General features: G+C 36.5%; 1 long non-coding RNA gene across 2 annotated transcripts in view; it reads left to right on the forward strand.

Annotated features, from left to right (window-relative positions):
• The window catches only part of LOC105374391 (uncharacterized), a 52,893-nt gene that overhangs the window by 1,601 nt on the left and 33,138 nt on the right, over window positions 1-18,154 (forward strand). The window contains exons 2-3 of one of the 2 annotated variants that reach the window (XR_925179.3): window positions 5,892-6,016; window positions 8,675-8,873. This is a non-coding gene — a long non-coding RNA (uncharacterized LOC105374391). Of the gene's footprint in view, window positions 1-5,891; window positions 6,017-8,674; window positions 8,874-18,154 lie in introns of those variants that run through there. The other variant, XR_925178.3, reaches the window with a different exon arrangement.

Raw genomic sequence — 18,154 nt, forward strand, 5'->3', positions numbered from 1 at the left:
AGTAGTCAAATGCAAAACACAAGCTAGGCATAGCTCATCTCTGTAATTCAAGCACTTTGGGAGGCAGAGGGGAGTATAGCAATGTAGCAATGTAGCAAGACACCCCTATCTCTCTAAAAATTAAAAAAAAATTAGCGTTGCATCGTGGCACGCACCTGTAGTCCCAGATACTTGGGAGCTGAGATGGGAGGATTGCTTCAGCCCTGGAGGTTGAGGCTGCAGTGAGCCATGATAGCGCCACTACACTCCAGACTGGGTGAGAGAGCAAGACCCTGTCGCAAAAGAAAAAATAAATAAACATTTGTTAAAACATTTAAAATAATTATATAAGACAAAATAATCTGTAGATGTATTTTGGGAATATATTGATTCTTACTATTTTTCTCTAAGTCCTGAAGAGCATAGGTTCAGCTTAGCTTTGTTTTTTAGAAAAAATCTTTGTGTTACATTTTTGAATTGCACAAAATTGCATGATGCTTTAGCTTAACGCTAACTGAATTTCCCAGCTTGTTGTTCACCTTACATTTTTAATTGCCTTTTCTATCTTTCTGTCTAATTAGAAGATTGTTTCTTCTCTTATGGAGTTTTTTTTTTCAAAAAAAATTAATAAAACATTTTGTTTTATTTTTCTTAAAGACATCTTTCAATGAATTCATTTCATCCTTATCCGAATTAGACTGCTTCACCTCGATCCTGCTAATTAGCTGCCACTGTGCCATTTCTTGTCTTTGGATTAGATCTGCTGTTTGCCTACCTCTCTTTTATAGATATCATGTTTTGTGATGGTGGTGTTTTTGTTTTGTTGTCTTTTCCTGTGTTTGTTGGAAAGGGGATGGATAGAGAGAAAGAACTGTTTGTTTTGTTCTTATGGTCCACATACCTGAATAATTTTTATCAGAAACTTTTTGTAAGAGGTAAACTTTCCATATCCTCAGCAATGACACATGACACATTTTATGACAAAGGAGATGTCAGCAGAAATACTGTATTTCTCAGAAAGTTTTGCTTTTGCTTTACTGACCTTGCTCAGTGGCCATCTTGGGACTGACAGTGAATAAAATGGCAAGAGAAACTGGAAAACCCTGGCATTTATATGTTTGAGCTGGTGCATCCACTCTGAACTCCCAATACCCAAAAGTCTTGTTATTTGATAAAAATATAAAACATCTGTGAGTAGTCACTATTACTTGCGCTTTCTATTATGTGTGAAAGAATAGAAATCTAATAGAGACAATGTATATATGAGAGTGTGGGTGAGTTATCTATGATATGTTACATGTATATATGTGGACAGATCAATATGGAGCTATAGAATGTGAAAAAAATACCAAATGATGTATTTTTAGTTGTTGACATCGATTACTTTTAAATGATACAGGAATTATGTCAGTTGGACAGAACTTCACATGAAATGGTGCATGATACAAATCCTTAAGAATGTGCGGGTCAATGTCCCGTAGTAGTGAAAGGGGTAACTGAATATCAGCAAGCACTTGGGCAATGTAGCCAATGGCATAGTGAGTAATTTTCCAGTGGCTGAAAAAAAAATGGAAATCAGTAAAATTGAACATCAGGAAGTCACAATGCATATAAAACAATATAGGAAAATGCATAAATAAAAGCTCTTTGCTTTATAAGTTTTTTTTTTTTCAAATATTGCTAATGTAGGATTTTTCTCAGCTCCTTTGTCAGACTCATGACAAGGGTGAATGTTTACTCAGCCCACCGCACTCAGCTCCTTGCAGGAAGGATCACATGAGCAAGCAAGGGCAGGACCCAGCCAGCCACTCCGGGCACTGGTGGGAGCAAGCTGTGTGTGGGGCCCATGGCCAGACCAGGTGTGAGTGAGCAAGTGTGGGATCCAGCCAACCACTCTGGACACTGGTGGGAGCGAGCTCCATGCAGGGCCCATGGCAGTGCCAGCTGAGGATGCCTGTGACCCTGGAACCCCAGAGGGAGTGTTACAGTCCTCTCTTAGCTCCTCTGTCTGTTGATGGCTATGTGTTAACAGCTCAGTTGGCTCCTTACCTCATCACGTGGGGCAACTGCCCTCCACTGGCAATGGCAAAGGGGTAGTGTGACAGCCTTTTTGGGTACCTGCACTCAGTGGGTACCAAGCTCTTGTCAGGCATCCAAGGAGAATGAGGTCACAAGGACACTTGAAGGATGGTGAAGGCAGATAATTTTACTGAGCAGTGGAAATGGCTCTCAGCAGAGAGGGGAGCTGGAAAGGGGACAGGAAGGGCAGGTAGTCTTTCCTGAAGTCAGGTGGTCTTCTCCCCTATGTCTGGCTATCTCTTCCCCAAAGTCAAGCCATCTCTTTTCCCCAAAGTCTAGGCATCTCTCCTCTGAAGTCAAGCCATCTCTCCTCTGTACTGACAGAGTCTGGGGTCTTCAGAAAGAACCAATCGGGAGAGAGTGGGCAAACAGGAATGGAAGTTCTCACTTTGGGCTGTGGGTTTCATGCTACTTTGGCTTGAAGGTGGGCTTTCACTGGGGACCCACCCCTGTCTGCCTAGAATTTCTCTGCCTCCTACCTCTATCATTGCTTTGAGTGTTCAACATTTCCAGATAAGCCCCAAAAGAGAATATCATTCCCCTGTGGTTTTACAAGTCCATTCTTCCTCAAACTCCAAGGATAAAATCACTGAAATAGGCCGGGCGCGGTGGCTCACGCCTGTAATCCCAGCACTTTGGGAGGCCGAGGCGGGCGGATCACGAGGTCAGGAGATCGAGACCATCCCGGCTAAAACGGTGAAACCCCGTCTCTACTAAAAATACAAAAAATTAGCCGGGCGTAGTGGCGGGCGCCTGTAGTCCCAGCTACTTGGGAGGCTGAGGCAGGAGAATGGCGTGAACCCGGGAGGCGGAGCTTGCAGTGAGCCGAGATCCCGCCACTGCACTCCAGCCTGGGCGACAGAGCGAGACTCCGTCTCAAAAAAAAAAAAAAAAAGAAAAGAAAGAAAAGAAAGAAAGAAGAAAATCACTGAAATATACCACTATTTGTGTAAGTAATAAAACTTCAAAATTTATATTAAATTTGCATGAGACTCTAATAATATATGTTATTCTAACTTGTAAAATGGAAGGAAGGAAGGAAGAAGGAAGGTTTCTTGTGAAGTTGTAGTTTGGCTGAAAACAATTACAAATAATTTAATTATTATGATTTGGAATAATGATACTTTTAGCTTGAATGTTCAATTTAGCTTTAATAATTCAGCAACTCTGCAATCTCCATCTCAGTGCAGTTCTATCATTTTCAAATTGTAAAGGCCAAGAATACTATTAAATGTATTGATTTTCATCTTTACTTACAGATATATGAATAGCCTCTAAAACTGACAAGCAAATAGGGTTAAAATTGCTTCCTACAAGAAAGCACAGAAGGAAAATGCTAAAGCCAATGAAAAACCAAAAATGTCTTTGATAACACCTCAGTTACTCTACAGGATAACTAAGCCTCAGAACATTTGCCAATTCACATAAATTATCTTTGGAATGTTCTAACCTTTGAAATAAAATGAAAATAGTTACTAGCTTTATCTACATGACATGACTGGGTTTCTTTTAGCATGCAAAGTAACAACAGAAAAAACCATATCTGATAGCAAAATTCTTACAATAATCTCAATCTCTGCATTAAACTTGGGGGGGGGATTTGCATCTTTGTATACAAAATCATTTATGGGCAAAGTTTCAAAATAAATGAGATGTAAATTCTATGAATTTCATTATGTTACTAAATTGGAAACCAGTTACACATATAGAGGCTTAGGTGCACTGAGTTGAGAAATAATGCAGAGACTACACATTATATTGCATGGACATTTTCTACCCTTCATTTTTTGAAGAGGAAGATGATATTTAAGTTGGGTTTAGAGTTGAAAAAATTGTCTAGTGCAACTCACATAGTCTATTTTACTTGCATATGTTTCACATTTGTCCTTTGGTGGGTTGCTTGTGTTTTGAAGAGTATTGAAATTATATGAGTTTTTCAATTCATATTAAACCTAAAACATATTTCTGTCTCCAGTAAGCTTCTCTGTTGATCATAACTGCCCAACAAAGTGAGCAGTTTGAACCATTCGTTTTCAATAACCAATAATCTTGGGCATATTGTGAAATCCTCTATTTTGTTTTGTGTCCTCTCCACCATCCCCAGGAAAAAAAGTTCCATTTATTAAATATAAAATAATTGAGTGTCTGAATGCTGAACATTCTTCCTGAGTATCTTAGCATTTTATTTGTTTGGAAACACATTTTAATGTCGTTGGTAAAGAAAACATTTCTCAATTATTCAGAATTTAATTATGGGTCATCTTGATCTAAGGTGATATTTCATAGACTCATTTATGATAGTGGTGCAATTATACAAGGCATCTGTGTGACAAATCTCATAGATATGCAGAGATTAATGTATAGCATAAAGATCGGTGGGCTACGACTTAGGGAGTCCTGAGTAATTAGTATAGTGCTAATTATTACCTTTTTTCTTTTTGAAAATTTTAGTTAGAGATCTGGCTTCTGTCTGTTGCCCAGGCTGGTCTTGAACTCCTTGGCTCAAAGCAATCCCCCTGCCTCAGCCTCCCAAAGTGCTGGGATTACAGGCATAAACCACTGCATCTGAAATATAAATTTTTTTTTTGAGTAGCAGAGCCTTTATTTGTATACTTTCTGATAGGTACTACAGCACTGATTATAATTCACAAGTTTGATGTGAATAATATGTTGTATAATATATGCAAATATTTATGCAATTTTAAAGGGGCTTTATAAATTCCACCTTTATTAATGCAATCATATTTATTAATTTTTTTATTACTATTTATACTCATTAAATTTTTGGACATTAGCTTGAAACCATTCTTTCACTCTGATGGCTTTCCATGTGTTTTAATAATCATAATAATTTTAATCATTAATAATTTATCAATGTGTAGTGCTAAAAGATTTAGAGATATATAAATCAGTATAGTAAAGTTGATATAAATATATAAATACGTATATACTTTTTGTTTTTTTACTGTAGGCTTTTCCTTTTACCATTATTAGGCAAATAATCATTGTGATTTACTGTCATTTCTACAAATCCAAAACAATAATTATATGCAATCATAAATTGCTCAATAAGACTAAAATTCTATTATTAAAGTAATAAAATTGAGTCACTTAATTCAAGCCATATATTCACTGAACACCTGCTATGTGTAATGCACTCTGCTGTATACTTGCAAACTTCTAAGCTTTATGAGGATTATATGCTAACTTCTTTGTACAAAACTATCTCCTATTTCAAATTTGTTCTTATCATCTTTTATCCTTGCATTAACATGATGAAATTGGATTTTTGTTTATATTCTCACTTTTTGAAAATCTTCCAGTATCATGTCAAGAAACTTTGAAGGATCTGAGATTTTAGATTACTTCTACACTAATAAGTTAGCCATGGTTACTGGACGAAGAGGCAGAACTTACAGAGACAATAACTTTATTAGAGCACCATAAGCTTATGAGTATCGTGTTTGCCTTGGTCCCATCCTCTTTCTCCAGGTCCCACGAGAATAACACAGAGGTGTCTACTTGATACTGCACATGCAACGTTTTTGCTTCACAACTGATTAATTGCAATGTTACAGAACCTGATTCTTTTGCAGTAGGTTATTTAGCAGATCTGCCCTTTTGCCCGAAAGGAGAACTATTTCTGTCTTCCAAGGCTATCCTATACAAATAACCTTGAAAAGACAATCTAGAACAAAGACAAACCAGTGCCTCTGCTCACAAACATGCAAAAACATGAGACATCATGAAGAATTGTCTCCCACGGTATTATATCTTGAATTTTGAAAAGAGAAACATAATGCTATCTGAATTTATGTTATGCTTCTATTCAGATATACTAATACATGCTGCTGTAATAAGGAGTCCTCATTTAAGTTACTGTGTCCAAAATGAGTTTCCAGTGGTCCTCCATCTTGATACATGCTCCAGTATCACTTATACAGAAAGGGTGGACATGGTAAGTCACTTGCTCGCTCTTAAAGCTTCTTCTTAGAAGTAATATGACTACTTTCATACATATTCATTTGCCTCAGCAAGACACACAGTCATATTTAGCTTCCAAAAAGATTGGAAAGCACAATTTTATCATGTCCTGGAAACTGATCAACACTAATTGCAAGTCTACATGTTCATGGAAGGAAGAGACAACTCTTAGGTTTGTAATCAGATCTTACAAACGTAAGATCTGATGGCACCAATTTTTTCCAATGTGATGTTTTCATAGTAGTCAATAGAAGAAGAGAAACAGAAGGCAATTCCGTTTGGGAACAGGATATCTTCTTTAAGAATGAGAAAATGGTGTCTTCCTTGCCAATTATTTTCTCTGCCCATAGAGCCACAGGGCTAAAACTGCTTGCTGGAATAATGTGTAAAGACCGCAAAATAGTCAGCTCTTCACAAAAAAAGTATTGTAATAGATATCATTCTGCTATCATTCAGCTCTGATAACATAATCTCATTTGCTTTCACTCCAACATGCTACTCACTGTACTTCCATACACTCTCACCCTCTCACCTTGAAGAAATCTTTGAAAATATTGTTCAAAACTGTGGCACCATTCTGAATTCCAGTCCTTGACTTAAATCAATTTTCAAGAGCATTAGATAAGCAGAGGTCTTGTCTTAGTTTTATATGACAATGTAATGAAATTTATTGAACCACTTTGTCTTAAATATATAAACAGAAAAAATAGCATAAAAATGAAGAGTTGGAAAATATAGGGATCATTACTAAACTGATGAAAAGCTATTCCTCAGACACATTTTATAGAGTTGAAAAGATTTCAAAATTGCTAAATAACTGTAGCAAAGACAGTGCAAGTTTGAACAATCTGTAGCATAATGAAATGTCTCAGATATTAAACACAAATGAAAAAATGCATTTTGTTTATTAAATGTAGGATTTTGCATATTAAAACATTAAAACTGTCTGTTATTATTTTGTTTAAATTTGGGGAAATTCCTGGCTTATCTACAGGAGAAAATTATTACACAAATAATGCAGTATACTTTAAAGCAAGAAAGAATCGTTTTTTGTTCTTTTAAAATTTGTTGACTGCTGGAAGAATAATGAGATAAAGTAATAATGTTTTTCAGGTTTATTGAGGTATAATTACATAGTAAAAATTACATAGTAAAAATTACATAGTAAAATATACATAGTATATTTAAGGTGTTCAATTTCATGTTTTAACGTAGGTATACATTTTGAAATACCACAATCAAGTTCTAATATATATTTTAGGCTAGGAAGCAAGAGTGGAAAATGAAACATATTTAGTTCTCACTGAGTATCCCAGGGGATTCAGGATTATAATGCTCAGAGAAAGTAGTGGGAGCTATAAGCACATTGAACTCATAGGACAATAGCTCAACTTCTGTGAAGCTCAAAGCCTACAACTCTAAGGTAAACATTTCTAGTCATGTGTCTATCTTGGGCTTCTTTTGTCCTATCTTCTCTTCTCACTCATCCTTCTTGCCTCATATCATTCTCAGTTACATGCTTGCCTGCCTTCCTACCCTTCTACCCTTCCTTCTCTTCTTTCTTCCTACCTTTCTTGCTTCCTTTCTTCTTCTCTCCTTCCTTCCTTTCCTTCTCTCCTTTCTTTCTATTTCCATTTCCTTTTGCAAGATCTTGTCCTCATCTGCCACTGCAGTATTTCTAGTGTATTAGTTTTCTCTTGCTGAGCTAACAAACTACCAAAATGTGGTGGCTTAAGACAGGAAACATTTATTATCTGATGGTTCTGGAGGTCAGAAGTGAAGTGAAATTCACTGGGCTGAAATCAAGGTGTCAGCAGGACTGCATTCTTTCTAGAGTCTGTAGCTAAGAATCTGTTTCTTTGCCTTTTTCAGTTCCTAAAGGTTATCCACATTCCTTGGTTCATGGCCATCAGTGAGCAATTACATCACAGCAACCTCTACTGCCCTTTGGTACACCTTCCTCTCCGACTGTAATTCTCCTGCCTCCTTCTGTCAATTATATAAAAAAAAAAACCCTGTGATTTCATTGGGCCTATCTGATTCATACAGAATCATCTGCTCACCTCAAGATTCTTAACCTACTAATATCTGCAAAGCCCCTTTTGTCATATTTACAGGTTCTAGGAGTTAGGATGTAGATGTCTGTGGTAGGCTGTTATCCTGCTTACCATGTCCAACAAATTGCCTTAAGTCAAGATTCTCCTGAAAAAAACAGAAACAACAGTCTATCTATCTATCTATCTATCTATCTATCATCTATCTATCCATCCATCTATCGATTGACCTGTTTCTATTCTATAGCTGTTTCTATTATTCTATAATCTATGTCTATTCTATAGCTGTATCCATCTGTAGAGACATTCTGGATACACTACTTCTGAATAATACTATCTTCCACTAGATCTTACTCCTATAGATGGGTCAAAGTCTGTGAGGTGGTCTGAAGTCGTAGGGTTCTCCTGAGTACTTTCAGCACTTAATACACATTGTGTTATCCACACAATAGGGGACAAACTATTATTCTGCCATTTACAGACATGTATCAAAGTAGCTGATGTCACAGCATCATACAGAGTGCTAATTGAATAACAGCCTATTTTATTTTTCATGTGTGCCTCTCTTTCCATAATAGGACACAAGGGTTCATGGGTGGTTAGCCTCAAAGACAAATATTAGTGATGAACATCATGCTGTACTCAGAATTGCTTCTCTTGACTGATAATGAAAGCTTTTTCACTAAGCCACGCTTGACTGCCTGACTCTTCCATTATGATGAGCCCTCTCCCAGGATGCTCCTCAGGGGTTTATTACAGTTGACTTCTGGATCAGGCTGCCAGACATATAGAGACACGTCTGAATTCCACGTATGAACAGAGCATAGACTAAAGCTGTAACACCTTATCGTCTCCCAGGCTGCTTCCAAGCTTCTGAAAACTGGTTTTGCCCCTAAAACCTTAATACATTGTAAAATCAACCCTGTTATGTTTGAATCATAGCATTTTAGAAAAATGAAATAGTGATTTTGATGCTACTGCTTGATAATACAGAAAAGTAAATGTCTATGCAAGGACATGAAGTACTTATATTTTTAAACTTTAAAAAGGGAAGTAACCAGACATTGGGCTTCCTTGTCATTTAAAGCAGCAGCCCCCAACCTTTTTGGCACCAGGGACCAGTTTCATAGAAGACAATTTTTCCAGGGACCCGGTGTGGGGAGATGGTTTCCAGATGATTCAAGCACATTACATTTATTGTATACTGTATTTCTATTATTATTACTATAATTATACAACTCAATATAATTCAGAGTCGTTGGGTACCCTGAGCTTGTTTTCCTGCAACTAGATGCTCCCATCTGGGGTTGATGGGACAGAGTGACAGATCATCAGGTATTAGATTGTCATAAGGAGTGCATGACATAGATCCCTCGCATGTGCAGTTCACAATAGAGTTTGCACTCCTGTGAGAATCCAATGCTGCAGTTGATCTGATGGGAGCTGGAGCTCAGGCAGTAATGTGTGCGATGAGGAGGGGCTGTGAATACAGATGAAGCTTCTCTGGCTTGCCTGCTGTTCACTGCTTGCTGTGTGGCTTGGTTCCTAACGGGCCATGGACTAGTACTGGTCTGTGGCCCAGGGGCTGTGGACCCCTGATTTTAAGAAGTAAGATAGCAACAAAAATAAGGATTTGTTAATTCAACAACGTTGTGAAGGTTTAGGAATTTCTTTTAATTTCACAGTGTTTATTTTTTGCCTGTATTTTCTAATTACCTGTTATATTTAATATAGAACTCCTAAAAAGGAGTGTGGGTGAAGACAGTAGTCTACCTGCCACCAACTTTAATGAAAGAGAAAACTCAAAAAAATAAAGTAAGTGATGCAAAATCTGAAAAAGATGACGTCTGAATTCGATGGTCTTAAGAAAGAAGAGTTTATAAATGTCTAGGATACAGAAATGGTGACTTTAGCTTCAAGGAACCTATGTGGGGTTGCCTGAAATTTGTCTCTGTAATGTCACATGTGTGGAAGATACTGTATGTCATTAATAACTGATTTTGTGCCAATTGGAAGTATTATTAAATTACTGTGCACAGCACTTGGTAGCAAAATAATGGGATGTTTCTTACATATTCCTAGGTATTTCTGAATTTACTCTGCTGGTTTTATATAAAACATGAACATTGGAAAATAGAAAACAAGTATCCCAAAATCCTTTCCTAGTATGTGTGCCCATACCTCTCACTTAATGATTTCACATTATTGATAAATTTCCTCATTGATATAGTGCTCCATTTTATTAATCTTGAATTGGGCAAAAAAAGATGTAGTTGCTGCAAGGCACTTTCATTTGCCATCGTTTTCTCAAGGGCTCATATTCCTACATCTTCTGAAATACCTAATTAACTCTTGTTTAAAATGAGCACATGCAGAATATAAATGGAATAAATTACTACTCATTGAAACTCAAATATTTCCAATTGAATAAATATTTGACAGAATATTAAGAGCTTTTTGAAGCTGTTTCACATAACCACTTAGAAACTATGAATCCAGGACCCACTATTTGAAAAGTACATTACCAACAATAAGCAGCTTGTTCATTATAAGTCTCATTGATATGTCAAGTGACAGTATTAAATCGGTGACTAAATAAAGCTTACTATATCTAGGGTTAAAAAAGAAGGTTGGATTTACTTTCTGATTTGTCTGATTTTTATGTAATGACAAAAACCTTTTTTCAGGAGCATAAAGTTAACCAATTTATGTTATAAATGATAAACAGTGACAGTGTACTACTGCACATATCTACCCATAATAGGCAGACTTCCAAAGCAAATGAAATCATGATCATTAAATTAAAATAACCCAGGTTCAATATATGCCTTGTCATCTCCTGAATATGAACAAAATTACTTCATTTCTCAGAGGCTCAGTTTCCCTGATTGAAAAATGTGAGTAATAGTAGCATTCTGTTGATGCTGTTATTAGTCAGTTCAGTATAACATCATAGAATATCACAGACTTGCTGGCTCAAGCAACCAAAACCTATTTTTTCAAAGCTCTGGATTCTGGAAGTCCACGATCAAGGTGCTAGCAGGGTTGGTTTCTAGTGAGGCCTCTCTTCCTGGCTTGCAGGTGGCTGCCTTCTTACTATTAGTTTGATGCAAACGTAATTGCATATTTTCCCATTAAAAGTAATGGCAAAAAAACACAATTATGTTTACACCAACGGAATATATCCTTCCACAGCCGTTTCTGTGTGCATGCACTCCTGGTGTCTCTCTTTTTATGAGGACCCCAGTCCTATTGGGTTAGAGTCCCACCTTTATGACCTAATTTAACCTCAATTACCTCCTTAAAGGTCTTATCTCCATCTAAAGTCACACTGGGGATCAGAGCTCCAACATGTGAATTTTTCTGGGCAGGGTAGCACATTCCATAATAGTTTTGTTTTAGTGATTAAATGGTATATGGCATGGATACTCAATATTTAATTACACAGTGGAAACTCAGAAGTGTTAACTGTTTTACTTTAATGCCATCACCTATGAGTGAATTCTGATTTGCCTTATCTGAAAGCATTACATAGTAGACTATCCAGGCAGTTAAAGCAGCCGCTGTACCTGTCACCTTCTCATCTTCCCTGCATCTCAATTACTAGGGTTTCTGGCAAGGAGGTGAATCAAACCCCACTCAGTTCTCAGAGATTGTATTATTGTCCCTTCTTTCTGGTCACCACACCCAAGGTTTTCAAATCAGTTCACCACCATTCCCCAAATCTCAAGCTTCTGCAGAAATAAAGAGCAATATTGTAAAAATAAAGAAAAAAAAATAAAAGGAAACAAAGGTTTGGACATGCTGAGTGTGACATGTACAAACTACACACACAAACACAAAATCACTAATGGCTTATCTCTATAGATTTAATATGCAATTTTAAAAAAGCAATTATGCATTATTAAAGGATCTGAAGGGTTCATATCTATTTTTACCTAGCTTTTATATCCACCCAACCCTCCACACACATCCCTTTTTTGACTCCTGCATTGGTTTTATTGTTCATTAAGAATACCAATTAGACGACAGTTCTTTATTTTAAATCAAGTTATGCAAATGTGGCCTACACATGCAGGTTTATTAATAAACAATATGTGTTTCATTTTCAGTTGCATTAATATTTCACACCTAAAATTGCAGTTATAGCAAGTTTACTAAAAAGACTTTCTAGCTAGAATTTAAATGAAAGAACAAAGAAAGACACTTAGCATATTGACTTTAGAAGGCTTTGGAACATATTATATTTTTAGACTAGTTATAGGAAATGTGGAAAACAAGTTCTGTATCTGGAACAACATCTCATAATCATTTGTGTTACTTCAAAACAGACTAAATAATGAGTTCTGTTTATTCATAAAAAGAAAGCAAATTTTATACCATACTCCCAGAAATAAAATAATAGTATTTACCTAAAAATAACATGGTACATTTAAGATAATTCTGAACCAATATTTTGGATAAAGTAAACAATGTTTTTCTCAGTTTTTTTAGAGAATGCATTTAAGTTTTGAAAATTTCCTTCTGATATAAATCTTCCAAATAGATATTGCCGGGAACTATTATCAGTTTAGAAACTCAGCATATTCGTAAGTTCACTTTGCACTTGTATAGTTTTTCATAAGTCCAAATGTTTATACCTGACCTCTAGTTATTGACATAAAGAAAGATTAAGCATCTACATCTAAGATAAGGCAATCAAAAGACTGTTTCTCCTAGGAGTTTACAGTACAAATGTTTGAGGTCAAATGTATCATTTGTTGATCCAGTTCAGACCTAGTTTCTCTATCCAAGAACTTTTTTTAGGTCACTTTAACCCTACCCTATCTGTTTCAGAGTGCAAAGTATAGTTGAAGGTAAGAACAAGTAATCATAAAAAAAATAGATACACTTTTGAAAGTTCCAAGTAGTTGTGTAATAATGTTTATCACTGACAGATAATACTTGATATCAGCTTTTATGAAAAATGTCAATAAGCAGCAATCCATAGAGGAAAGATAATTTTTTCATTGCACTAATAGAAGCTCAGCTAATTTAGGATTTTAGAGGTGAGTGAAAATTGGCAATCATTTGTGAGGCCAGAAAAAGGTAATGATATGTATATGTCCTTATGCTTTTCCTATATGCTAGGCAGTGCTTTACATGATTTACATGTCTTCTTAACATGCTAGGAGATGAGATGGTTCTATTCTTGTTTAAGGATTCTCAACTCCTAAGTGTGGAGCTTGGTTTCATTGTGACAGAGTCGATTTCCATAGCTGGAGCGCTTGATTACAAAGTTTTACTGACTACTATGCTAAAGTTATGCACATGTTATAGGTAAAAAATCTTCTAGGCATTGTAGTAGGTACAAAATAAATAAACTTCTGCCCTTCAAGGTACAACTTGTGAGCAATTAATTATAATACCTTGCAGAAGTATAGAGCACTCATTAAAGTTCAAAGTGCTTTGGAGAGAGAAGAAATTTTCTGACTGGAGGACTGAAAATATTTGCAAAAGGAAATTTGTATTTAGTTAGGTCTTGAAGAATGTATTGGATTTCATGGTGAAGTTTATTGTTTTTTCCAATTTATCACTCTCTTCTCTATGATATAATTGTATATCCACATCCTTTGACATTTGACTTGGCAGTACCTCCCTCTAGAGCACATGGTGTATATTTACCTGCCCCAATGATATTGAGCTTGGTTATATGCTTTTCTGTGGTCATTGGAATGCCAGTAGGCATTATATAAACTGATATGACAGTGTTTGCTCCCTTGGACTTCTGCCATCACCATGAGAGAAGCACGCCCATTAAGTCACCATATGAGACAAGTGAGGTAATTCTGAACCCAACCTTTAGCCTAGTGGAAAATCCAGCTGAACCACAACTCATCCAAACTCAAGAAGAAAAAATATAAATGTTTCTTGCAAGAAGACACCAAGATTTTGAAGTTTATGTTATACAATAAAAGCTAGATAATATATATTTTAACCAGGCATGGTGGCTCACACCTGTAATCTCAGCATTTTGGGAAGCCAAGGCAGGAGAAATGCTTGAGGCCAGGAGTTCGAGACCAGCCCAGCAAATATGGTGAAACCCCATCTCTACTAAAACAAAACAAAAAAACAAAACAAAACAAAACAAAAAACATAGCCGGGTGTGGTGGTGTGCACCTGTAGTCCCAGCTGCTGGGGAGGCTGAGGCAGGAGAATTTCTTGAACCTGGGAGGTGGAGGTTGCAGTGAGCTGAGCTCAGCCACTGTACTCCAGCCTGGGCAACAGAGCGAAACTCCATCTCAAAAATAAATAAATAAATAAATAAATACATATTTTAACAGATAATGTGGTAAGAGACAGAGACTTTGAAAGAATGATATCATCAAAGACATAGAGCCCCCAAACAGATTGAGAGAATAAATATTGAGTGCTATATCAGAGGACTGATAGAAATCTTCATGGAAAAGTATAAGAAGTGGTAAAGTCAGATTAGTCCATCAAATGTGAGTTCCATCAGGGCAACAGTTTCATTTACCTTGTCATTCTTTATCCTCAGTGTCTAAAACAACGCTTGTCACTCAAGAGCATTTGAAAAACATTTGTTGGTTGAGCAGATGACATGAACACAATTAAGGGTGTTTAAAAATTTTTCTTCAGCTGAAATCTGGGAGCCATCAAATGATTTTCAAAGGAGGAATTTCAGAAATGGTATCAGGTTTAGTAAGTCATTTTTTTGGAGGAAGGATGTTTCATTCTCTGTAATACTTCCATTTTCATGTGGAAGGACCTCTCATAGAGAAACACTCCTGGACTAACTCACTCCTCCACAGGGAGAATGGATTGGAGTGGCAAAAATTTGGAGGTACATGAACTAATTAAGACTCTTCTTTGGCATACTTTTTGTGACTCTGGTAGAGTAGACTTTTGTGATTCTGGTAAAGTAGACTTTTTCTTTTTTTGCCACAATGTATTGTTTTTTATTGTGTAGGATAGAAGCAAAAATGAGAAATAGAAAGGCAATCAGAATCTCTTTGGAGAATTTATTAAAATTATTTTGAGTGACTCATTCTTTGGAATCTTCGTTATACATTTCATATGTTCCTAGTGCTGCTGCTAAGATCTTTGCTACCATATAGAGAAACACTGCTGATGAATTAAATCAGGAAGAGGAAAGCAAAAAAGGGAAATGCAAAGGGAGAGAGTCTTAGTGATCATTTTGGGTTTCTAGATTCATGATTACCTGAAGCAAAATCCAGAACTTAAAATTCTTTTTTACATTGATTTATGGAATTAAAAAAATATTTTTTTTCTGTTTTGAGTTGGATTTCAGCTGGTTTGTGTTTGATTCCTCATAAGTTATAGTTGAAGGTGTTGTGATTAATGAATAGAATGAGATCAGTACTGCAAATGGAAGGGAAGAGGATGAAATAAGTAACAGTATGGCCCTAGAAAAGTCAATGGTAATTTATTACATATAGGGGAAGAGAAGTATAAAAGAGTTAATGATTACTCCGAAGTTTCAATTCTGGGCAGGATGGTGGCAACATGAAACTAAAATAGGAAAGACAAGAACGAGAGCAGGTTTATGGAGTTTCATGTTGTCTCTCATGGATTTAAAGAATGAGTAGGATAGCTATATGGTTGTTAATAGAGCACAGTTAAATTTTGTCATTATAGTCCAAATGAGAGGTTTGCCATGCAATATTTACTTAAATGCATTCAGCACAGTAATAGCGGAAGATTTCAGAAGAACTTATCTCTGGAAAGGAGTATAAAACTGAACTGGGGAAATATTTGTATGTAGGAGTGGGTAGAGAAAGAAAAAGCACTGAAGGAAACAGAGTGGGACTTCAGAAAGATACCAAAAGAGCCAGAGAAAAAGAAATTAGCATTTATCAAGGACCGAATACAATGTTTTCAAGCATTTTCCGTGTCATTTCATCTATCATCAGAACTCTATGAGAAAGACATTACTATCATCATTTTACTGTTGAGTGAACTAAAACTTGGCAAGGATAAGAAAATTGGCCAAGAGCCCACAGCCAGGAAGGGCAAAGCTGGAATTCAAACACAAATCTGTTTGACTTTAAAACCCATGGCCTTTCTGCCACCTCCTGCTGCCACTTTCACTAAAGGAAAGCACTATTATCAGAACCAATGAAAAATTAACTGCAAGGGACCAAGACCAAATGCTAGAGAAAGCGTTAACAGGATATGAGCTAATTTGAGATCAACTAGTTCTCCTATTATCTTGCAGATGAGGAAAATAAAGTTAAATGATTTTTCCATAAACACACAGATGGCTAGCATCAGGGTCAGAAGGAGTACCTAGGTTTTCTGGAAGTGACTGTGGTGCCACTGACCATCACCACATTCTGCCTTCAATGTGAACTTCAAATCACAATATATTCAGTTATGACTAGAGCCATTAAGTGGTATGTCTTGGACTCTTGGGCATATCTTCATCATTTTCATTCCTGATTCATCTTACTGGATACCCGAAACTTTTTTTTCTATTGAATTAAGCATAGTTCATACAAAAGTAATTAAGGATATGTGGCACAAGGGAAACACGAATTTCACTGATGGGTTCAGGCAAATCTACTTGGCTTTGATATTCCAGTTTCTGATAATCTGACTGATAATAAAAGACTTGTGATAATAAGACTTGTTAACTAATAATAAATAAAACAGGCTTTTCCAGGATTTCCATACACACACACACACACACACACACGTATGTATCCCATAAATGCTAAATGCTTGATTTTATGATAAGTGGTATACTACAAATATAATCACCATATCAATGCTAATAGCTATAAAGGAAACAAAATAAAGTTACTTCAAATACTTTGGAATACAGAGATGTATAGTGGTGGCGGGGAGAGAGAATGGGGGCAGGGATTTCTTCATAGAAATGTCAGGGAAGCCACTGTGAGTTCAGGAAAATTAAAAGGAACCAGTCATGGGATGAACCCCCGCCCCTTCCCCAGCAAGTGGAACAGCAGGAAAAGAAACAGATGAGGTAGAATGCTATTATCATATTTGAGGACTAGGAACATTGGCAGTAAAGATGATAACTTTCTGGCCTGCAGACAGGTTGCTTGGGCTTTGGTTTACTCACTTGTTTGTGCAGAAAGGGAACTCCTGTGGTAGTCTTGTGGACCAGGCTAAATGCATCCATATTTCCTTTGCATCTTTATCAAGAAGATGGAAATGATTGCTCAGTGTGTTGCTGGGTGGCATTTTTCCAAGAAAAGTATCTTAAGCCCATTGTGATCATCTGACTTTTCAGGGTACATCCTGCATGACCAGTATCCACAGATTAGAATAATAAATTATGGCCTAGGGGTAACTCTCTTTCTTGGCAGATTAAAATAGTGATAAAATGTGTAAACATTCTAGAGATATTCCCTTCCAATTGTTGAAACAACAGTATATTTAAATCAGTGGGCCTCCATATTTTGGGTAAGCTGAGACACACAAAATATGTACCTCATTTCTAGAACAAGTGATTTGAGGTCAGAAAGGGGTCTGAGTATATTTTTAAAAGATTTTCCTCTAAATCAATAGATAAAACAACAACAACAACAAAATACTTTCCAGGTCATTCTGGTACTCATCAGTGATTGATAATTCTTAGTTTATGCTACAAAACATATTGGCACTATTGCTTAAATTCCATTGTATCAGCTATCTCTTGCATATCAAAGCTGTATTACAAGCTTCCCCAAATCTCAATGATTTAAAAAAATAAGTCTTTCTTTAACCCAAGAGTCTAATGGAGGATGTATAGGCTGGGCTTGGGGGTGGCTTTTTATGTCAGTTGGACTTACTCACAGGCCTGGTAGTCAGCTGACTGTTTCCAGGGGTAATGTGGGGGACTGGTTCACGTTGTCTCTCATTTGACAGTTGTCTAGGCTGGGAAGTAGTGACAGCAGAAAAGCAAGAGAATGAACAAAAACATAAAAATACCTTTTGAAGTCTCTCTTTTCATTAAGTTTGTTAGCATCTCATTAGCTAAAGTCACATGGCCAAGCCAGATTATGAAGTTGCTTTGAGATTCCAAGATG

This window comes from Homo sapiens, chromosome 4 (assembly GCF_000001405.40).
Source record: "Homo sapiens chromosome 4, GRCh38.p14 Primary Assembly".
NCBI classification, from domain to species: Eukaryota; Metazoa; Chordata; class Mammalia; order Primates; family Hominidae; genus Homo; species Homo sapiens.